This window comes from Homo sapiens, chromosome 3, assembly GCF_000001405.40.
Source record: "Homo sapiens chromosome 3, GRCh38.p14 Primary Assembly".
In the NCBI taxonomy this organism is placed as follows: Eukaryota; Metazoa; Chordata; class Mammalia; order Primates; family Hominidae; genus Homo; species Homo sapiens.
The window spans coordinates 77,589,820-77,614,038 of NC_000003.12; the positions used below are offsets into that span (position 1 = coordinate 77,589,820).

At 34.3% G+C, this 24,219-nt stretch overlaps 1 protein-coding gene across 41 annotated transcripts in view; it reads left to right on the forward strand.

Annotated features, from left to right (window-relative positions):
* Positions 1 to 24,219, forward strand: part of ROBO2 (roundabout guidance receptor 2) — a 1,743,290-nt gene that overhangs the window by 1,683,145 nt on the left and 35,926 nt on the right. For 21 of the 41 annotated variants that reach the window (NM_001378190.1, NM_001378200.1, NM_001378201.1 and 18 more), the window contains 4 exons: positions 5,323 to 5,365; positions 6,804 to 6,931; positions 12,391 to 12,672; positions 17,979 to 18,135. In NM_001378190.1, the coding sequence (NP_001365119.1) occupies positions 5,323 to 5,365; positions 6,804 to 6,931; positions 12,391 to 12,672; positions 17,979 to 18,135 (610 nt within the window). Of the gene's footprint in view, positions 1 to 5,322; positions 5,366 to 6,803; positions 6,932 to 12,390; positions 12,673 to 13,115; positions 13,242 to 17,978; positions 18,136 to 24,219 lie in introns of all 41 variants that reach the window. The other 20 variants (NM_001378191.1, NM_001378195.1, NM_001378196.1 and 17 more) reach the window with 3 other exon arrangements.

The window sequence follows — 24,219 nt, forward strand, 5'->3', positions numbered from 1 at the left end:
CATTTCACACTTTCTAGAATTAATAAGGGAGCAGTTTTAATTTGACATTATTTTACAAATATGTAAGAAGTTTTTGAGACATTATATTCAATCTTGTATTCCTAATATTAAATTTGGTAGGAAGCATAAATGTCTTAGTAACTGATTTTGACAGAGGCGTCATTGATTATTAAGCTTTTACGATGCTGTGGCTTGTAGGCTCCTAAACTGCTGAGAATGTGGAAATAGTGCAAAATGCTAAGTATAGCACTGACTTGGTTGCCTTGTTTGTTATTTGATGCATTTATATGTTTATGATCATTTGATTATAGCATTGTAGCTTGTGTCTATATCTTATGAAGTTAAAATTTATTAGTTACTTGTTAGAAGACATTTCCAGGACTAGAGAAAGTACTACAGCATATCCATTGACAAGAGGCTTCCATGTTTGGTGACATGCCATCATTTTGCCATTCTCATTTCTCATTGGTTGCTGCCTCTCTGCTTCCTCATAATTTGTCACCCAAGTGCTATATCACTTCAACAGTGAAGGATTCTTTGCAGAAAGGGGTGCTAGGCAGTAACTGAGTGTCAGAGTCTGGAAAATTAATGATACTTTAATGTACCTTCTTGTTATGCAGTCCGGTTCTCTGCCTTCATCGCTGAAGGTATTGCCCATCAACCTTTCTGTTTAATCAGCCACCATGTCATATTACATCTCTGTGATACACTCGTATAAATCATATGAAATATAAGGAAGAACTGATTTAATTCATGGACTATTTTGTGTTTATCCCTTTGCTTGATGTTAGCAATGATAATAAAAAATTGACTGTGCTGGTCAGTTCGGTGCAAAGTTCTAATATATTCACATTTGGAGTGTTGCATTTTTATCTTCCATACTTCTTCATTCACTCACTCCTTATAAATAAAATATCTCTCATAGTTGGTAAGTTTATACTGTTAGTAAAATTACACCAGAGAGACTTTTCTTCTTTTTTTTAACAGCAATTCTTTGCACAACCTATGCACTTAAATTGAAAATATATGTTGATCATTGAGCTTGACAAGAATAGTGCATTTCCTGTTACAATTTTTTATTGTTATTGCTACTCATCTGCTTGTAGACGAACTGCTAACTCAGAAGGTGCTATGCCCTTCAGGTGTTTTGGAGTAAGGCCAAGCCAGAGAGAAGCCTTTCAGAAGTTTTTTACTTAACTGATAGATGGCTCACTATGAAGATAACAGATTTTATGAAGCTCAGTAAATATAAACAATTTAATATGAGTGAGCAAATTATGTGAAATGCTAAACACTTCACACATAGGTCTTAAAATCATCAGTGAAATATACATTATTAGACAAAACCATCCAAGGCACTTAAAAGATTTGATGGATTTTTTATACTCTGATTATCTGGGCTGAGTTAGTGCTTATTAAAAAAGGATTAATCTGCATTCATATTTGAGAAACAGCTTATCGGGAAAGGGAATGAGGCTTGCCTGCAACAGTAAAGTTTCTATTTGGAGTAGGAAAATGTGACCTACTAAAGATAGGCACTCTGAAAGCTTCCTCACTCAAAATGTCAATTTGCCACAGTTATGTTTTCTCCTCCTCTACCCCAGTTGTAGCAGGCATGAGATTAGGATTCATCCTGTGAGGTAATATTAGAGTTACTTTTTGTATGTTATAATCTTGCGAAATCTCTTTACCTTATATTTGTGTAAAAATTGCAAGAAATTCAAAATATTTCATGCAATTCAAAAACATTTTAAATTGTGGTGTCTGCAGAACTTTTTGGAAACCTTAGCCCTATTCAGTTAGTGTAAGCTAAAATATTCTGTATGTAACTCCTTGAAAGTTCTTAATTTTAGATGCTAACAGAGACTTTTGATTGAGAGTCACAGTTATTCCATATGTATCTCTAATAAGCACAAAGTTACTACTCTGTGATTATCAAAATTGTGACAAGAGCAAGATTGTCTGACCACCCCAACCCTTCTTACAGCTTCAAGGCAAACACTTATTTGAAATGAGAACTACCTCAAAATAGCTTTCAATTTGCTCTGGAATTTGATTTGTATGTTCATCTCTCTGCACACAGACACACAAAATGCTGATCAAAACACCAGATATGATTTCCATTTTAGGAGTTCTAATTGTTCATAGTTATTTGTAGTCTGCCCTAAATCTCATGATCTAATAGAAGTTAGTTACTTTTGATCTACTTTTCAAAATAGAACAAATCTAAAAGTTTTGAAGCATAAAGTAAAAAATGAAACTTGAAAAAGTGTTCCCTGTTTTTCCCTTGCTTTAAAAACACAACTAAATAACCCATTAAGATAAGGGTTTTTAAAAAAATTCTGACAGAAACAATACAAAATGGAAATTTAGATTGTGTACTAAATTGTATGTGAACCTTTTTAAGGTCATCAAATATTTACATAATGTGTGAAGTTTTGCCTTTGTATACTTAATATGCAGAGATACAGAGATAAGTGTCTTTATAGAATATTTTGACACCCTATTAGCAGTCTAGAATCATTTGAAAAACATATTTTAATGATGACGGGAACAGAAACAGAAAATAGATTGTCCCAAATGCTTAATAAGAAATATTTTTAAATTTAAATTATTTTGCTCACAGCATTTAATTTTCAATTGCCAGATATGGGCCATACATACTATAGTGTTCATACTCTAACAAGTTTGCAAATTAACTTTAATGCATTATGTGTGTATATATATATAAATATATAATTTTTTCTTTTGAGAGAGAGTCTCACTCTGTAGCCCAGACTGGAGTGCAGTGGCACGATCTTGGCTCACTGCAACCTCCACCCTCCAAGTTCAAGCAATTCTCCTACCTCAGCCTCCCGAATAGCTGGGATTACAGGCACTTGCCACTGCGCCCGGCTAATTTTTGTATTTTTAGTAGAGACGGGGTTTCACCGTCTTGGCCAGGCTGGTCTTGAACTCCTGACCTCGTGATCCACCCCCTCCTTGGCCTCCCAAAGTGCTGGGATTACAGGCGTGAGCCACCATGCCCGGCCTCATGATATATTTTTTATAGGGTTTTCAGTGTTCTATTATAATACTTTAAACTTTACATGTCATGAAGAATTTGCCACTGGTTCATGTATTAAAGTTAAGGGCCACTCAATGTTTGTACCTCTGTGTCTGTTGTCCTCCTTTTCTCTAATATTATTTATTGCTCTGGCAGTAACAGAAAGTTTGAATGGGACAAAAGAGCATCTAAATTAGGGAAAACTACTTAGCTTCTCACATATCTCTTGAACAGCACATTTTGAGGTGTAACCCATGAGCATCTGCTTATTTGCATATTCACAATGATATTCACACCATTATCTTAACTCTCTTTTAACAGACTAAAACAATCACTTGATAGTCCATTAAAAAAAAAAAAAACACAAACTAGAAAGTCACATCAGATGGAAAGCTAATTAGCTATACTGTTTTCACATTGCATGTGTACTAATCAGGCATTTATTTAATATCTCCAGTGCTCAATTTTTTGCATTAATTATTTCAGATTAATTCTTTTTTGTTAAAAGCAGTTATTAAACGGGCACAATGTGGGACAGATGCACTGCTGATTCCTGATTTCCCGCATTTCAGTGAGCCTTTTCATCTTCTCTGAGCATGTGCCTATAGCCAGTGTTGAGCAGATGCAAAGGTTATGTCAGGATTGTTTTGCAATGCATTTGAGATATTACACATAAAATTGATAAGGCAGTATATTTCAGGTACCAATAAGAAGTTCCTAAAAGCCCTGATATGCTTTACTGTCTCATGAAGACCCTTGGAGTTTAGAGTCATATTACCTGATTATGATAGCATGAGAGATAATATTAGTAGATAACCTTAAAGGAGGGACTTCATTTGGAAATGTGTAAAATTTAAAGAGCGATCATCATATTTGATAGCCCAAACTTGAGAACAGAGGAGTTATGGAGAGTTATTCAAAGTAAGAAGTATTCACTATGTGTATATATATTAAGTGGCAATATATCCTCTATTTACTTACAGTATGAATCAACTAATTAAATTTCATTTATTTTCACCTGTACTCACCACAGGAAAAAAAATCATAGTAAATATAATCAACCCCTTCCAAAGATAGGGTTTATTGGGTTCACAGCTGTGAAAATAGTATTTTTTTTCCTTCATCCCGGTGATTGGTTTAGCCAATCCACATTAATTGTGGTCAGAATTGCAGGTTTATTGCACTTTTGCAAGCTGTACACTTCTAAACACCATGTTTCTTTTTAAAAATAATTTTCTAGTTAACTAATTTAATGGCAAAATTTGATCCAAACTAATGTGAAGCTACTTGTAGACTTTATCCTACTAATCATGGATATTCACATTCCACTGCAGAAAAACTAAATAACTTTGAATACAGTTTACTGTCTCAGAACCTCTTTGTAATATGCAAAGTATATTACTTTTCTCAATTCTGAATCATTCTGGAGTCCAGATCCATTTGGCTGCAAAGGTTTGGGTAATGGATGATGGACCTGAACTGATAATAACATTCTTTGGCCAGTCCTTAAAATCCACTTTCATGTTGTTAGGTTTGTAGGCTTGAAACTATCGGCTGGAGAGAGTGGCTTCACTGGCTGTGGCTCTGGTGGATGCTTATTGGTGTTGCTAATAAGTTCCATAGTTACATGGAGGATTCAACTTTTCTGATCACTACATACAATTAGGAATATATTCAGTATCAATTATTTGAAAATTTCATTTTCATGAGCATGTTATTCTCTATTAATTATAGTTCACACCTGTTGTAATTATCACTGTTTATGAGGGTCATAAAAGGATTTGTGATGGTGAAAAATCTGTAGTCAATAAGTATTTGTTTTTCTTGTTTCATTAGAACGACGTAACATGTTGGAACTTTCCTGTTTCAATTTATATTATGAGTGTTTTGTCTTATGCCTTCTAATTAGGACACCTTTGTTTTAAAATTAAAAATCTTGATTTGATAAATTCACAATAATGCTACGTTGATCTTGCAATACCACTATATATACTAATTGTAACAGGTTTGACATTTAAATACAAATTAGTTCTTTAACTTAACCATGGATTTGGCTTAAAGAATTTGAAAATGTCCTATTAAAATTGGAGCAAATGATGGCTTTGCCTTGGGCCAAACCACTGCTTGTTACTCTCTGTACAATGATGTTAATTATATTTTGTTAAAATTCCCAGAGGCCTCAGCTCTAAACTAAGGGCCAATATGTAGTTGTTATTAATTGTAATTAATATTGACTACTTGTGTGTGCATGTCTTCCTTTTTTTCTTTTTTCATAGTTACGTTTCAAAGAGGAGATGGAGGACTAATGAGCAATGGAAGGTATGCTACGGAGATTGTTTCATTATTATTTTTATTTTTAATCAGGACTGGGGAAACTCTATAGTAAGAGCCTATTATTGTAATAAATGATCACTTAAAAGTCTGAGAATTCTAGGAGGAATTAAATGGCTTACCACAAAGTTTAATGATCTATCTGTTGTGCACTTTAGAGGAATCAAGTCCAGATGTTTCATAACTCCCAGATGCCCCTGAAGAAATTAGTAGTAAATATCACATGGAATGTGTTCATTTGTTAGCAGGATGTTTATTGCATTAATTAGACATTAGCAAATGAAGTTGCTGTTGTTTAAGACTCCTTATAGGCTCTCACTAAATTGCTGTGAGTGAACAATTACACATAATCGATCACAAAGTAAATGATTCATGGATGATGAATAGGCTATAGATTGATAGGACTGGATTCCACAACTTTGGATATTCAATTGAAATTGATAAAAGCTGATAACAAACTCATATATCCTCATCTATTTTCCCTTTGCCAATATGGAGATTGTAATTAGGCTCTGGTAATAACTTCCAATCTCCCATTTAATCAATATTTTAGCAAAAAGAGATTAAGTCTAATGAGAGTTTGTGGATGTAGCAAGAAAGCGGTTGGGTCTTCTTATTGCAGTTTCCATAGAAACACATGTTTCTCTTAGGGATTGTACCAGAAGGGGTCTATCAAAAGAAAAGTGCAATGATTATAGATGTTCTATTTCTGTGTAAATATGCTAGTAATCTGGAAAGGAATCAGAATCTCATCTTTTATATTAAAGAAGGAAGTTCTTTACTAAATATGACGTGAAGGAAATTTTACTTATAGACTATACTCACATGCTGGATCAGATCACAGTGTATCTTTTATTACCTTTAAAAAAAACCCTTAATATACCCCTGATATTTTGCAATTTAGAACTTGGAAATGTGCTATTTATGGAGCAGTATAAATACTGTTCATTAATTTCACTTCAGTTCCTTGCCTCCAAATCAAGCATGAGGGCTCATAACAAGGGTTACAGCCTAGAGGGAACAGATACGTAAGGTAGCTGCAGGAATTGAGGAAGGAATAGCCCAAAGTCTTAGAAATGGCTGACATAGAGCAGTCACTTTGAGCAGTTGTTCCCTTGTGGTGCCAATGTATCATCAAACCTTGTTTTGGGATCCTAGTATGTTACTGATTTCTACCAGTTTCAGGGCAGACACCTGAATTCATCTGGACATTGACAAAATCCCGGGCAAGGACTCCCTGCGTCCACTGTTAATGTATGTATAGCCTTAATGAATTGCTGGAGTTCTTTAATTCCAGGGAGTCTACTTATATTAATTTGAAGTCAATGAAAATCTTCCATTTCTTAACGCTTTATATTGCATGAGACGAGTGTCAAAATCTTGCATTGAGCTCCATGTGTTGATTTCCTTGTAATTTCTGTTTTAGCCGTCCAGGTCTTCTCAATGCTGGTGATCCCAGCTATCCATGGCTTGCTGATTCTTGGCCAGCCACGAGCTTGCCAGTAAATAATAGCAACAGTGGCCCAAATGAGATTGGAAATTTTGGCCGTGGAGGTAAGTTGTGTTTTTTAAAATAGTGTTATTTGAGTTCTCTCTCTCTTTTTTTTTTTTTGACCTTCCTGGATTTTTTTAAAGAAACATATCAGAGAGTATTTACTCCCATAATTAAAATCAATGAAACATATGCACTAACAGTGTTGTACATTTGCTAAATATTTTAATATAAAACGATTGTATCTTCATTACCTTGAGTAAAACCAAACTTTTAAGGAAGCTATTACTAACCAAGATGATAAATATTTATAATATATATGCTTTCAGGATTACTAGTACAAGATTACTGAACTCAGAGACTATTTTGTTAACTAGGGCTTATGGTTTTGGACTAGAGGTTTCCCTTCTCCATCTCATTTAACATGTATTTATTGAGCATCTCCTGTGTACTTGGCACTATGGAAGACCATAAGAATATAATAATGATATAAAAAAGATGGTTCTTGCCCTCATATAATATGTCATGTAAGAAATAGACAATTAAGTCAATATAACATGTTGAGAGAGAACTTTTCTGTAGTTCCACAACTAGTAACTGTTATCCAAAAATAAATAAATAAATAAATAAATAAATAAAAAAGACAAAAAAGTGCTAAGTAGCCACATGCAAGCCTTCAAAATTTGGTGCCAGAGTCCTCTCCCTGTGGGTTTGTAAGGAGACACAAGTAACCTACTGTAAATAACTACCACCTCCCCTGACTTCACCTTTTCATCCAGTCAATAGGAGAGAGCTGGGTTTAGAGAATGATGAGAGGAGTAGGGAACTCTCTGATCTCAGTGTGGCTTGGCAGGTTCATGTGAGTTTTCCGTTGGTGGAAGATTGTACAGACATTAAATGTGCTTAAACTGCCTTGCCAGAACCCCATGTGGCATGTCTACCAATTGGGAGTAAGAAAGCTCTATGAACAGAATATTATTTAAGTTGATACCTGAAGCAAATTTAAAAATGAGTCAAAAGTATGGAAAAAAAAAAGTGTTTAGAAAAGAAGTTGCTGTATTTTAAGTTCCACAAATAAAAGAGACATTGACCTACTTGAGAAATGGAGGAATTTCCTAATGACTTGAGTATAAAATACGAGGAAGCAGAAATGGTAAGAAATATAGAAGGATAGATAACAAAGGACCTTTTAAGCCACATAGAGAATTTAGACTTCGTTCAGAGGGTAATCAGAAGCTGTTGATGGATTTTTAAGAGGAGAATGCTGGGATCCAAGTACTCCAAGTACTGTTTTAAGTCATCCAGCCTGCTGCTGGATGAAGAATGGAGTAACGGTAGAAAATTGGAGTGATTAATTAGAATAGTGCTGTAATCCAAGCAAAGCTGTATGAATTCTCTGTAAGATTTCTGCACTTTTAGAATTAATGAAGGAGGCCCAGGGCTCTGTTAAATTTTTCTGAGTCCACTATAAGCCTTGATGGGTTAATTTCATATGTATGAGTATATAACCAGATTGACTGAGAACTGAGAAGGATATTCATAGCATGTTCTCTTTAAGAATGGATTACCACTATGTTTGACTATATTTGAAGTTGTATTTCAAATAATGAAGCTACTGATTATTGCATAAGTCTGCATTCTGTCAGTACCAACTATGAGAAGGGGAACTCCCTTCCCTTCTGCAAATAAAATACAGAAAATAACCATTCCTACTTCATAGGTGTGTAATGAGGATTAAATAGATGAATATATATATATATTTATTTATATAGAATATATATATTTATTTATATAGTGTGTATATATATATATATACGCACACACATATATATATATGTGTATATATATATATATCCCAAAGCTTGGCATACCATCAATCATCAGGCATCAGTGCAGTGAGTGAGAGAATGGAAAGTAAGTTATATGACTCCTCAGCTTCCTCTTCCGCTTCTGCAAGCCAACACACCCCACTTAGGACTCTCACTTGCCCAGATACTCTGGTAGTGGCTTCCTCCCCTAAGTGACCCGACTGTGAGCAACTGTCAGCTATCACTTTGCCATGGGTAGTTTCTGTGCCTGAGCACCTGCTCATCAGGAAACAAGAATGTCCCTCCCCCTGCTATGTCGACTGATTTTGTCAAAAGGAATTCTGTTCCCACAGCTTTTGTCAATGAAGGAATAGCTGACTCTTTTACCTCTTGTATTTTTATTGAAATAATATGACATGCTATTGTTACATGAAAAAGTGAATGCTTACAGATGGAGAAAATGAATATTCAGTTTCCACAGGCTACCTTAACGTCTAAAATATCTCAGTCAAATTTAACAAAAGGGTACACCTGGAGATTTGCAAGGTTTTTCTTCCATTTTCCCTTAATTTTCATGATGTGAAATATCTCATAGATGAACAGCAAGGCCAAGACAACGTTTTTGTAGAGTTGACTGTATCCCTTATCCATGTGATAGTCATTTTAAGCATTTACTATGTGCCAGAAATACTGTTAAAATTTTTTGTATATTTTAATTCATTTTGCTTGCATAGTAATATATGAAATAGTCATATTTCCATTTTAAGGATCAAGAAACTAAGTTTTCTCAAGATAAATAATTTGAGATCTGGTTGTAGAAAACTCTGCTTTGTATTGTAAAGGCAGATTCACATGTATGACTATATAACCATATTCACTTGGAAGAATAAGAATGGATACTGACATTTTCCCACACCACATGTTCTCACTCATAGGTGGGAATTGAACAATGAGAACACATGGACACAGGAAGGGGAACATCACACACCGGGGCCTGTTGTGGGGTGGGGGGAGGGGGGAGGGATAGCATTAGGAGATATACCTAATGTTAAATGACGAGTTAATGGGTGCAGCACACCAACATGGCACATGTATACATATGTAACTAACCTGCACGTTGTGCCCATGTACCCTAAAACTTAGAGTATAATAAAAAAATAAATAAAAAATAAATAAAATTTGGCAAAAAAAAGAATGAAATGACAATACGTTTGAATGTAATAAAAATAGTACTTAGAATAATAAAGTTACTAATTATAGCATAAATCCATATTTTATCAAAGGAAACCATAAAAAAAATTATTTAACCATTCAAGTCAGCAAGTGCTTACTCTCTTCAAAACACTGGGTGAGCAACTATGAAAATGCAGACATAAATCCCATATGCTCCTGTCTTCAAATGACTTCGTGATACAGTGAAGGAGACAGTCATTTGTACAGATAATTATATAAAACAAAAGGAAATAAATGTGAGTACAAGTATAACCAAGGTGCTGAAAAACTACAGAATGAATTACCAATTCCAAGTAGAGGAAGCATTTCCATAACTCATAGGTTTCAAACATAAGTGTTAACAAGCACCAGTCAGACAGCCTAAAACATTAAGGACTGGTAGGTGGGGACTGCTATAAATGGAAATGGAAAAAAGACCTGCTAAATATGACATCACCTATTTAGGTCTAGCCTGTTGGGAGGAAGGCTAGCCCAGAGTTCCAAATCATCTGGTATTATAGGACTCTCCTTAACATCCAAATATTCATGTGCAATATTCCAATATTTCGATGCTAGAATACAATTCAGTTTATTTTTTGAAAATGTAGGGATGATCAAATCATATTTGAAGACAATATGCAGCCTAAAAATCAATACAGAAGCACTTAGACTTAAAGGCTGACTATAATTTTATCTAGCAGGGAGAGGAGAGATTCAATTTCCAGAGCCATAGCATTAGTTGTATAGCAATATTATGTAGGATTAGATTCTTGGACCACTTTTCTTCATTGTTTAACATTTGAGCACACAGCCATTTGAAAAGCTTGCCATCGAAGTGGCTTGCAATCCACATCTAAAGCTTTGGAGAACTTTAAATTCAAGGTGTGTGAAATTGGAGCTCAAGTTGGGGAATCAAGTATATTCACTTAATATTCATCAGTGAAGGACATGGTAGAAGCGGCAGAAACAAAAGTCTGAAAAATCACCCAGAATGAAGGATCTATTGTGACCAATTTGGATATACTACATATTAAAAGTTTTTGAGAAATAAAAATAATACTAACACTTGAGAATGCAGTATGCTTAACATCAAATTTTGTAATTAGGACATAGCTCAAAGAAAGAAGGGCAAGAAAGTAGTTGTGAAGTTCTGAAATTTAAAAATAATGTTATTTGCTTATACAACCTGGTGAAATATGATAAGTTAAAATATGTTTAACAACTTCACTGATACACATTTAAGATATTTACTTCAATATCTTAAGTACATATCCGCTCAGCTGTAAAACAAGCTCCAAACTTCAAAACCTTCATAAAGACTTAAGTTATGCAGTGTACAAAATATAGTATACATTTCTTTCTACACTTGCTAAAGAAGACAATTTTTAGCTTATGTAAAATTCAAAAGCAAAAGTAATATTTCTATAAGAATTTTTATTTCAGGTACTATTGAGTATCAGCTAATCTAAAAGTTTTAAGATAGTTGAAAATGTCCTATAATGAAAGAATGCAGTGATTTGATGGCCTCAAGTCCCATGAAATGAAGCTTTCAGAAGATAGCTTATTTTAAAATGTACTATATAATAATTAGATTCATTTTAACGCTACAGGATTAAAAACAGTGTTATTTAGTGATTTCTATTTTAGATTCACTTAGTATCTTTCTTCCAAAAAGGGAAAATAAGAGCTCAGGAGAGAGGCAGCAGTTCTGAATTATAAAGCATCATGTAAAAATAATTCAGCATACCAAAATGAAAAATGGACTGATTGATATTCAGTGTTGCTCCTGGAGTTTAATTTTACTCTAGCTGTATTACAACATGAAACTGTAATTCTCTAGTTCGGAGTTGATAGCATAAATTAAACTCACCGATCACTGAGATTGCTTTTTCTATAGTTAAATTCTGCTATATTGTGAAAATGGCTTACACCTGAAAATTTTCCTTTGTTATACAAGAAAAAAAATGCACTCTCCTTTTCTGGAGCAATTAAATCACACAATAAGTGGCAAGTTATAGCTTCAAAAAATATACTTCATAGTCGGTATAGTATAATTTTTGAAATGTTAGCATGTATTTAGCAGTTGTAGTCCATGTCTCTTGGGATAAAGTGGAAAGAGATGTTTTTCATCTGTGAGTTGTGGATTCAGTATCATTGCAACTGTAAAGTGCTAACACTTTCATTGGCTCTAAAACAGAGTGAACAACTGAAAGCATTTTTCTGTAGTGAAGTATGCCAACCGTCTCATTCATGGTTAAAGAAAATAGGGGGAAGGGTGTTTTAAGCAGTGAGACGTGAAGGGCGAGCAGTAGGCCTGCCTGTCACTGAGGCTGATAGCTTGGCGATGGTTGTATATCATCTACCCTTCAGTGGCTCATGAAGCCCATCTCAGCTGAAATGCAAACGTGCAGTGTGACACACTTATTTTTCATCTTCAGTCCTGATAGTTTTGGGCTTCCGGTGCCTCATTAAATTGTTTCATTTCCCTATGTTCACCACAGATGTGCTGCCACCAGTTCCAGGCCAAGGGGATAAAACAGCAACGATGCTCTCAGATGGAGCCATTTATAGTAGCATTGACTTCACTACCAAAACCAGTTACAACAGTTCCAGCCAAATAACACAGGCTACCCCATATGCCACGACACAGATCTTGCATTCCAACAGCATACATGAATTGGCTGTCGATCTGCCTGATCCACAATGGAAAAGCTCAATTCAGCAAAAAACAGATCTGATGGGATTTGGTTATTCTCTACCTGATCAGAACAAAGGTAACAATGGTGAGTCAGGTTCTTGTGTCCTGAGGAGGTATTTTCATATCATTTGTGCATGAGATAGAAATTAGTATTTGTTGTTTGACTTAGTGATTCATTACCAGGTTTACTACCTAAACTAAAAAAAGATACCAGCATGTTTCCAGTAACTTGAGTAATTCCTACCACCACCACCGCCACCACCACCACCACCACCACCACCACCGCCGCCGCCACCACCACCTCCTCCACCACCACCACACACCAGTGCCAATCGGTTTCATCTTTTAGCTCTTTTTCAACCTAATGATCAACAATCCATCTCTACTTCCATTAGGGCAGGGTAGACAAAACATTCCTCCACTCTCCCACAACATCTGCTTCTGAGTTGCTAACTGCATGTTCTGCATGGGCTTGTGCTGTGAACTAATCACATGATGCCACTATGACCTCTGCCCTTTAACCCTTAGCCTTACTTTACATTCCTGACTACCGATTGGCTGAGGGATTGTCTAATAGAATGCCACACAACCAGTCTCAGGATTTCAGCACCACCAGCTCTCACAACAGCTCAGAAAGGAGTGGCAGTCTCTCAGGTTGGTCTCATCACAGTAAGGAGAAATATTTGTTTGTCACCAGCGTATGACCTGTGTTCCTAACAACCATGAAGATATACTGAATCACAGCTCACTGTCAGGCATTTATCTGTCAAATGACAACAGTTTATGCTAATGAAATCATGCCTTGGTGGGATAAAAGGGAAGAGAAAAATCACTGTCCCCTTTTATATACTAACTCTATGAGGAAATATTTAAAGAAAAATTATGCCATTCTACTAAATACTATTCATTAAAGAACGAGTAAAGAGAATTTTATAATAAAAAGATCATACATGAAAGTCAATTCCATGTTATAGATACCAAAAGATGAATTCAACTAAAATGAAAATGATTTTGGAGTAGTTCATAATATTAGTATATCATTGATGTGACCTCCTATTTTTGGACAAGATTTCGAAATACCATATAATAGGATTTTTTATCTATTGAATGATATTCTACTGCACTATACAAGAAAGTTAATATGGGAAATTAATATTTAATTTCCAAAAAACCATATAATCTTTGATATTGCTAATTCTTTTATGGTATAAATTTTAATATGTATTTGAGATATATCAGCTAAACTGACAATCTATAATGTCAGTATCATATAGCACAAATGGAAAGAAACACCCTTTACTGGACAAAAATATATACCTATTGTAATGACTTATGAATGAAATTTTCCTGGCCCAAAGATCCTTACCTGTAAAATGAGGAGGTTGTAGTAGACACACTCTAACTTTCAACCATGACATATACATTGTATGGCTGATGACTTTGTGCATTTCTAATTTATTCCATGACCCCACTTGTTTAATTTGTTTGGATTAACTATATGCTATTTGTTTGTACTGAGATTTTGTTTTATTTTTTTAATTACAGGTTATTTGTAAAAGACTATAGTGTATTATGGCATGTCACAGGCTACCAAGCATCAAAGCCATAAAGAGTTAAACTTTTTACATCATTAGGGTAACATTTTCTAAATTACTTTTCCTCAGGAGATGGAACCCTTTCAGTCTGAAAATGTTAATGCTCCCTCTTCCCTTCAAAATGGGTCATTTGCTCTTCTTGCCTATTGGTAGAATTAGCTATATTATAGAATCCAGAAAATTTTAAACATCTGTTATGAATTTAAACAGGTTTAATAATATAGGAGAACTTTTTGAATAACCTTATATGTCATTTAGACTGCCATTTATTTATAATAAGTCTCACAATTGTTCTGAATAATTAAAAAGTAATTTATCCTGGGCTTCCTTTTTATTTCATTAAAGATATGCAAAGTCACATGCAGTATGTAAAAATAAATCTATATACTATAATCCATGGATTACTTAAGACTTTTAAAAATCTTTCTTTAAGTATTCTATATGTGTTGATTGCCACCACCAAGTTTTAAAAGTTGTCTTTTGAGTAACTGTAAGCAGAACACAATTCACAATAGTACTTAGTGCTTTTTTGAATCCATTAATCTCCTGAGTGACATTTATATATATCTATGAATTATATTAACTACTTCATCTACATTTGAATACAAAATTACTTAAATTGATGATAGAAAGCATTCTTTAGTAGGTGAGAGTGATTATTCTCTTTTTAGTTTAGTTCAATTGAGTTTAATATTAGAGTTTTGTCTTATGCTTATAATCATAGGTATCTTTCCTAAGACTTAAATTTAAGATCAAACCACCTTGTGGATAACTAATCATATGGTATTATAAGATTTTCTTAATTTGTGGATAGCAATGTAAGCAATTTAAAATAATCACAGTGATAAAAGTGGACATTTCAGAATTATTTGAGTGTATTACCCTCTTTGAAACACTTAATATTTATTCAATATATAAGTTCTGAGCACTTCCATTAAAAATCTAACCATTAAAAATATAAAATCACCAGCCTGAGCAACATGGTGAAACCCCATCTCTGAAAAAAATACAAAAATTAGCCAAGCATGGTGGCACTCGACTGTATTCCCAGCTACTTGAGAGTCTGGGGTAGAAGGATGCTTGAGCCTGAGAAGTTGAGCCTGCAGTGGATGTGATCGCACCACTGCACTCCAGCCTGGGTGACAGACTGAGACCCTGTCTCAAGGAAAAAAAAAAAGTATATATATAGTATATATATACATATATATTAATATACACACAAATTAAAGAGTTTATATATGTAAGTCATTAAAATATGCTCCCTTAAAAGATAATATAAGAAATTCTCACCTTAAAGTGATTGAAGGTTCTTTGTTTGCAAGTAACAGCAACAGACTGTGGCTTACTTCACTCAAGGTTCAGATCTCAGAGAATGTAAGTGGCTTTGGTTCTATGTATGCTCTCCACCATGCTATGAACCTACCATTGCTCACTGCTAAAAGAAGTCAGGTGTGTTGATTTGTAATCCTACACGTACTGCCCATAATGAGAGAGCAGAAATTTCCTCAAAAGAAGAGAAAGTGATTGTTGGATAGAAAGCCCTCACATATTTCTTCTATGAATCACCCGTTTCCCAAATAGATTTTTAAATCTGTTTGGAAGAGTAGGTAATGAATGGCTTTCTTGAACTTTGGACAATGACTTCAACAGAATTCAGGGCTCTGGAAGTAGTAATTTCCAGTAAAGAAAGCTGCTACATTCTGAATTCTGATTTTTCTCTTACTGGGTGAATGTGGACCACGTAACACTCAGAATGAACCTCAGTTGCTTCATCTATAAAATGGAGATGCAAGAACTTGTCTATTTCTGTTACTCAGTTCTGGTGGTGACCACCTAACATTTCTAAAAGTACCATGGAAAACGAAAAGCACTCTCTCTATATATAAATAAATAAGGAATAAAGGAGGTGAAACTAGAGAGAAAGCTATGGAAGACAAGTAGCTCAGTCTGTTCCCCTTTTAATCATTGAAACCGAGTTCTGATACTACAACAGAAGAAATGGTTCCTGTCTGATAATTTTGCTGACTCATCAGGAAACAAAGGATTAAGGTTCATCTACCTTAAAGACAAACATTACAGATGTATATTCAAGCAAGTTTATTGTTATTCTGAGTCAGGCTGTTTGTGGGATACTCATAGGGCCTGGAGAAGTTGGGAGTAAAGAAAGCTTTAGAAATCAAGAGGAGCTGGGTTTGCTCTAAGATAGAGGATATGGGGGAAAAAAAAGAACACAAATGAGTGGCATTTATTGAATGTTCTGTCCATTCTGAGTAGTTGATATGCATTGTCTCTTGTAATTCTCAAAATAACTGAAAAAAGTAGTAACTTTATATCTGTTTTACATGTGCAAAAATGTAGGCAGTAACTATTGAGTAACTTATCCAGTAAGTGGGAAACTGGTCTGTAAACCCAGATACGAAACTCTTGTCCTCTAAGCAAAAGATGTCTGCTCTCCTTCCTCTTAAAATCTTTTATTCTACCAAACAAGTATACTACAAGGCAAGATGAAAGCAATTTGTGTGCAGGGATGTTCTTTGAAATATGTGTGAAGGTGTGCATGCTATGTGGAAAACACACACTATTTTATAACTGGCAATAAAGTATATATCCAGTTTAACAGTTTTATCACTTCCTGGTGCTCAAATATGTTCCTATTAAATTACATAATATTCAACGTGGCTGATGCAGATGAGTAATTGGTAGAAGTAAGGGGAATAGTAGGCTTCTAGTGATATTATAATACATTGCTAAATAGCCCTGCTACAAATAGTTTTTGCTCACAACTTGCGGTTCCAGAAAGATGAAGTCGAAAGAATCAGTAAGATTTTTGGCAGATATTGCTGTAGGCTGTGGTGGGAGCCACAGAAGTTATATAGTGTCCCCTGAAATGTCCTTTGTTATTCTGCTCCAAGAAGTACTCATTCCTCATTTAACTGTAGTCCACTTTTAAGGAAGAAGCTTTATCTACTTAATTTTGGAAGAGTAAAAACCATGGCACTGTCCAAATGATAAATTGTATTTTTTATATTTCATTAAGCTCCATGTAATCCTAGATATGGCTCATATGCTGCTAGCTTACTTTCTTCTCATATTTTGTGCATGAATTCATTTGTATTAGAATGCCACTGAAACTGATTACTGTATTAATTTTTCCTCCTTTTTGGAATATTATATGATGTTATGCTTAAAATAGCTAAGAACTATTCACATATGCAAAAATAATTGTGCCATTCATTAGTTAAAAAGTCTATAAAACGTATCTTCGCAAAATATTTACAGGTATTTTCCTGATTGTAGCTGATTGATTTTTATCAGTTACTTTTGGGATAAAAATTGTTACCCTTCCTGGATTAATTAAATTGAATAAATTCTAATGGAAAAGTTTAGCCTATATCCTTAGACCTTGCATTTTCCACTGAGAGAGATTATGCAAAAGAGCATTATAAGTGTACTAAAATTTGACATTTAAAAGAATTTGTTATGGCCCATTATTTCCTCTAACAATGAAAACATGAAGGCACCAGACGGGAATAAATCAATAAGCATGCTTTTGATACAGCAGCCATGTTTTTGGTTCATTCAGCTCTGCTGTTAATGCACTGGGGAAAAAAAAACAGTATCATTTTGAGTGATTTATAAAAATGTTTTTCTGATTATATCATTTCATTGTTTATAGCTTTTAACAACTCCAACATACTGATTCTGGTGTTTTGAAACATAAATACACCTTGCCATCTGATGTATTCTCTTTATTCTGCTATTTGGCATCTCTGAATAAATACGTTATTACTTTCAGGTGGGAAAGGTGGAAAAAAGAAGAAAAATAAAAACTCTTCTAAACCACAGAAAAACAATGGATCCACTTGGGCCAATGTCCCTCTACCTCCCCCCCCAGTCCAGCCCCTTCCTGGCACGGAGCTGGAACACTATGCAGTGGAACAACAAGAAAATGGGTAAAGATATTTTATATACTAGCAAAATGGCCAGGGCTCTCCTCTCCTCTCTGTTGTTCATTTTTGCCATCATCTTATGTTCTCTCACTGTTTCCTTTGCCCCCCACCACCATGTTCATTGCATTTCCCCCTCTTTCATTGTTTGCACTGTCTATATATTTTTAGCTGATAAATACAAAACAGCACATATTGAGGACTGAGAATCCTTGGCCTTCAAGTGCCTTAGATTGTCTGCAATCATGATAATGCAGCCTCCATTTATAATATTGCTTGTTAGTTTGAAAGCAAGTACCCACAGCTCTGTGAACTAAAGAGCCACTCCTGAGAAGGGCTGAAAAGGGAATTAAAATAACCTTCTTCATCATCCCTTGCAGTTCTCTAATGACTTGATGTCTGGCCATAGCAGGGCGCCACTGTAGAGCACCATCACAATGGGATAATTGTAGGGACCTGGCCAGTGGGTAGAACTTTAATCATCAGCTCTGATGGGAATTTAGGGGCCAGAACAATAATAGAGCCAATGCATACTCTGTAATGAAACCTTTTTAAGATACAAAATTTTCTTCGAGGGTCTTTAAATGGGACCAGTTTCCTTATTCTTTCCCAAATGTCTCACAAGAGTTAGTTTTCCTCTGTTACTTTAAGCTTTAATTGATTTTAAATACAAAGACACTGATATTTTTTATCCTCTAATTCCAAGAAAAACAAAAATTGGTCAAAAAATCATACTGTTTCCTTTTCTAGTTTAATAATTCTGAATGCTTTGTCTTCCTTATAATTCCCAGGTCACTATTTATTTTGACTGGGCCTTTATGTAAGCTAAAAATACAGAAAAAAAGCAGTTTTTCTTTTCACAGGATTTTTTTTCACTTAGAAATAGTTAGATATTAAAATAAATCTATTTATTTCTATAATGGTTGTTTATTTATTATCTTGGCTTAAAAAATCACATATACATGTTTATAAATTTCTTCTTCATCCTCTTTTCTTTGTACATAACTCCTGTCTTTGAAGTCTTCAGATTAATTTTTCTAACTAGAATTTTCTATGTCATAACATTGGCTTCCTTTAATGATATCATTTGCCTTTTTTTATAAAATAAAATATATATACATATATGCTCTATATATGCATTATATATGTATACACACATACGCGAATATTTTTTGTCTATGTCTTCCTTTCCCTCCAAAAGCCTTCATTTGTCTCTCTGAGACTGTAGCACTTATTATATATGCATATATTGTTATTTTACTTCTTTTAAGTTCACATTTGAAATGGGAAACTAAAAGTATATCCTGTGTCCTCCTTCTCTAACATAAAAAATAAAATTCTGTATATGATCTTAATTTATATTAATGTTATAAATGTGTCAGTGTCACATAAATCATGAGCAAAGAAAAACCAAAGATGTGTATTCCACAAGAGATTAATACAGAGCTTAGAAACCTGCATTTTAAAAGCTATAGTCAGAGACTACAGACATGGGGACTTGTAAAACAGGAAGAGAAAGTAGTGCTGTTAAAGCTTTATATGCATAAAGTCTTGAACTCATATCACATGAAAACTGTGGATAATTTGGAGGGTTTTTTTTCCCATTGAGTCTACTAAAATATACATAGACTATGATAATTCCTGTAACCCCCTGCAATAAAACCAATTAAATCAAAATCAATGCTAAACTTCTCACTTTATTTTATTATCTTGCAGTAGAATTGAAAATATTCATGAAATAGTAGATGGTGCAAATTTTTATTATTTAACACAAATTATTTTCAGTATAATTAAGATATAAAACACAAAATTGTTTCTACATATTTGGAAACTTTATATATACATATATATATATATATATATTTATATGTATGTATGTAGTTTGAGTTACCTTCAAGTTTTTGTTTGTCTTAAATACCTAGTATTTGCTAAAAAAAGAAGTTATCATTCTTACTAAAAATAGTGGTTAGATCTTAGCCAGTCAGTAATATTGACAACAAAATTCAATTTCCTTATTTTTTTGAGCTCAGTTTTTAAAAGGCTAACACTTGAAAATTATTATTTTAATTATTTGTAATAAAAACATATTTAAAGTTAATATAAAAACAAATAAAAATTAATAGATTGGGCATGATTTTGTCCATTTTTTGATATTCTTTATACTTTTATATTTTCTAATCGGTAAACCATATGATACTGAAAAAGAAAGATTATTGAACACAGTAGAGTATTCTACTATTCATAATATTAAGTAAGTCAAAAAAGAAATCTTCAGAATTGATCTTCTAGAAAATTTTTCTATAATTTAGAACCTTCATAATTCAGGTTTAAGCTTTTCTTGGCATACAAAATATAAAAACTTCAGATACTTTTTTGCTCTCCATACTTATTAGAGACCAGACACTAACATTATCCTGTTCCTGACACACACACATGCACACACACAAACACACACAATTTTGTATGATAAGCCCTAGCTGAGCAATGTGGAAGAACTAATAATCTCCCCACAGAAAGGGGCAATCATATATACCAGGGAAGCCAGGGGAAAGCTTGTAGAAGTTAAGTTTTGAGGTGAATCTAGAATCATTTACTCACAAATAATAGAAAAACATTTGGTGGCTGTTGGATGCCAGGCACTGAGCCAAAAATAAGGACAAAGATAGCAAGAAAACGTCTCTGTCCAAAAGTGGTCTAGCATTAGAATAGATTGTTAGTCAACAACTATAACAAAATTTTACTATTGTTGTGATTTTCTGTGCAAATGGAGACAAATTTCCCTGGCCAAAGACCAAAAAAAAAAAAAAAAAAAAAAAAAAGAAAATAAATATAATACAATGAAAGACGAGAAAACAGGAAATAGCAGATAGTCCCATTAGTCTTCCTTTGGAAACCCCACCCTCTTTTCTTTAAGGTTATCTGCCTTAACTAAACTGTTGTTTTGGTTATTCCTAAAGCTTGCTCCTCTATTGTAGTACTCCTCATATTGCACTTAACTGCTTGTCTGTGCCCTTTATCAATTTGTACCTGATGTATGAGGCTTGTTGAGTTTGAAAACTGCATAGGGTGGCTGGGCGCGGTGGCTCACACCTGTAATCTCAGCACTTTGGGAGGCCAAGGTGGGCGGATCACGAGGTCAAGAGATCGAGACCATCCTGGCTAACACGGTGAAACCCCGTCTCTACTAAAAATACAAAAAATTAGCTGGGCGAGGTGGCGGCCGCCTGTAGTCCCAGCTACTTGGGAGGCTGAGGCAGGAGAATGGCGTGAACCTGGGAGGCGGAATTCGCAGTGAGCCGAGATTGGGCCACTGCACTCCAGCCTGGGCGACAGAGCGAGACTCTGTCTCAAAAAAAAAAAAAAGAAAACTGCATAGGGTAGGAGATAATCTAAGAAGACGTTTTGAAGCCAATTGTGAAGCCTTGTATGTCATATTGGAGTTCTGATGTTTGAGTACAGATGATGGATTGGAGGATGTGAGGCTGAGGCAGGTAGATAAAGCATGGAATATTGCAGCAGAATGGCTAGCAGAATGGCTAATATCATGTAAATGATAAGGGAATAAAACAAAGCAAGGTCAATGGGTTGGAGGAAAGGTAAGTATTTAGGAGATATACCCAGCTAATGGTAATCATCACCCTGAAAATATTGTCTCTAGTTTTTTGTTACAATATTTAGTATTATTTCTAAAAGCTTAGCTATCATCAGTTTTCATTCTAAGCCTTTCCCCACAATATCAAAATAAATATCAAAATCAAATAAAAAGTATCAGAATATCAAAAGTTATCAAACAATTGCCCAAAGAAGAAAAGTATTTGTTAATTCAGGAATATAACAATGATGGCAATGTTTTCTCCTATCATTATTCTTCTCTCAGCTTGACAAAAATATGTCAAAATGTATTAATCCCTAGCTATAAATACAGTGCATTTTATTATACTCATATGATTCCAGGAAGAATTCTATGGTAATTAAATTGAAAAGTGGGGCTTTTCTTTGCTACTGCAGTTAGAGATTGGCAAGCTTCTGCCAGTGTTGAACTTTATTGTATTTTTATTAGTAATTTGGTATTTGTATCTGGCCTTTACAAGTTAATTCACATGAAACATTGATTTGTTGTCATCTTTATCATTAGTTGCCAGGCAAGACAGATAATATGATGCCTCATAGTTCACTGACAATAAGTCAAAGAACAAAACCTTCTCCAGGAAAGGTTGACCAAAAGATCTTTGGTTTGGCATTAGCAGCATTTTCACAGTCTTTTTCAATGTTACTACAAGAAAAAGTTGAAATTCTGTCACTCAAATAAGATGTATATCTGTAAAATGTGAAGGAAACTATAAAAACAGGGCTACACTTCATAAAATTTGTAGAGTCATCTGTTACTTTCTCATCCTTCTTCGGTAACTGCATGAAACCTAAGTATTTGTTGCTTGCAATGGATTAAGACGTGAACACCATAGAGATAACAGACCATTCTTCTCCTTCATATGATATACACCATGCCCCAACTTTCCTTCATTTATTCTTCCAGGTTCTTCTAGTCTTTTCTTTTATCTCATTTTCCATTTTTCCTCTTTTGGTACATGGTAGGTAGATGGATCTGTGGACATTTTTCAGTTTCGCTATCCCAAAGGGGTAAAGAATTTGCTCCTTCTTGTTCTAAATTATCTTCACACACACACACAAAATGACACAGAAAAATTGGTGATAACTGGCTAGGCGCGGTAGCTCACTCTTGTAATCCCAGCACGTTGGGAGGCCAAGATGGGCAGATCACGAGGTTAGGAGATCGTGACCATCCTGGCTAACATGGTGAAACCCCGTCTCTACTAAAAATGCAAAAAATTAGCTGGGCATGGTGATGGGTGCCTGTAGTCCCAGCTACCAGCTACTCGGGAGGCTGAGGCAGGAGAATGGCGTGAACTTGGGAGGTGGAGCTTGCAGTGAGCCGAGATCGCGCCACTGCACTCCAGCCTGGGTGACAGAGCGAGACTCCGTCTCAAAAAAAAAGAAAAAAAATAGAAAAATTGGTGATAACATTAATTCTAGTTAATGGGAATAGCTAATGAAATATGTTTTAGTTAATTAATGCATTAAGCAATGTATTTGACTAATGCCAAATACAATATTTATATGGTTAGGCTCTCCTTGGCCTGACATTATTTGATTAATAAAAATGAATTGAGTACACCAAATTATAACTTTTCTTATGTTTTCTTAGCACATGATGCATATAACACATATTTCTTCTAATATATTCTCTATGAATTTTTTTTTTTTTTAAATTTCATGTGTATATCCCCATTAGATTTTCAAAAGTAAGGATATCTTACTACCTATGGAGTTTCAGAAAAATCTTAGGAAATAACAGACTATTTCCATTTGAAAAATTGAATATGTGAACATTTTCGTTCTTTTTTCCAAGGTATGATATCCTTGGCAACGAACGAGTGTAAGTAAGGAAAGTCCACCCATTACTTTTTGGCAGAAAAAAGGACTCTTTTGTAGTAAGAGTTACAAAGTAAATTTAATTATATCTAGTTATGAAGCAGAACAGCACATTTCATATTGAAAATAGATAGTTCTCTTTTGATTAGCCTCCTCTTACGTATTTCTGTTTAACTTAATAATGTGGCTTAAGTCAGATAAATAAATTAGGAAAAAAGAACAAAGCATTCTAATTAGTGGAATGATATGTGTGTTTTCAAATCAAATCAATACATACGCGTATGACTTACTCTTTTTAAGGTGTTATATTAGATGTAACAAAACAAGAACAGTTCAATGTCATAACTATAATGCACTTGAGGAAAAGGTATTATAAACATGTGAAAAGTTAAATACTAAAATAAATTAGTCAAGAGTTACAGAAACCAGCACTGGAAATGACATAAGACTGCATATAATCAATTTTCAAAGAAATGTACATCAAGGAAACCTTCATACAAGATATGGGATTTAGCCTGCATCTTGATGGATTTATAAGATTAAGATAGGTAAAACTGGAGGAGTACAGCTTATTGGAAATAAGTTGGTTCTTATAAATAAATGCACCAGGATGGGAAGAAAGTACAAAGAAAGATGAAA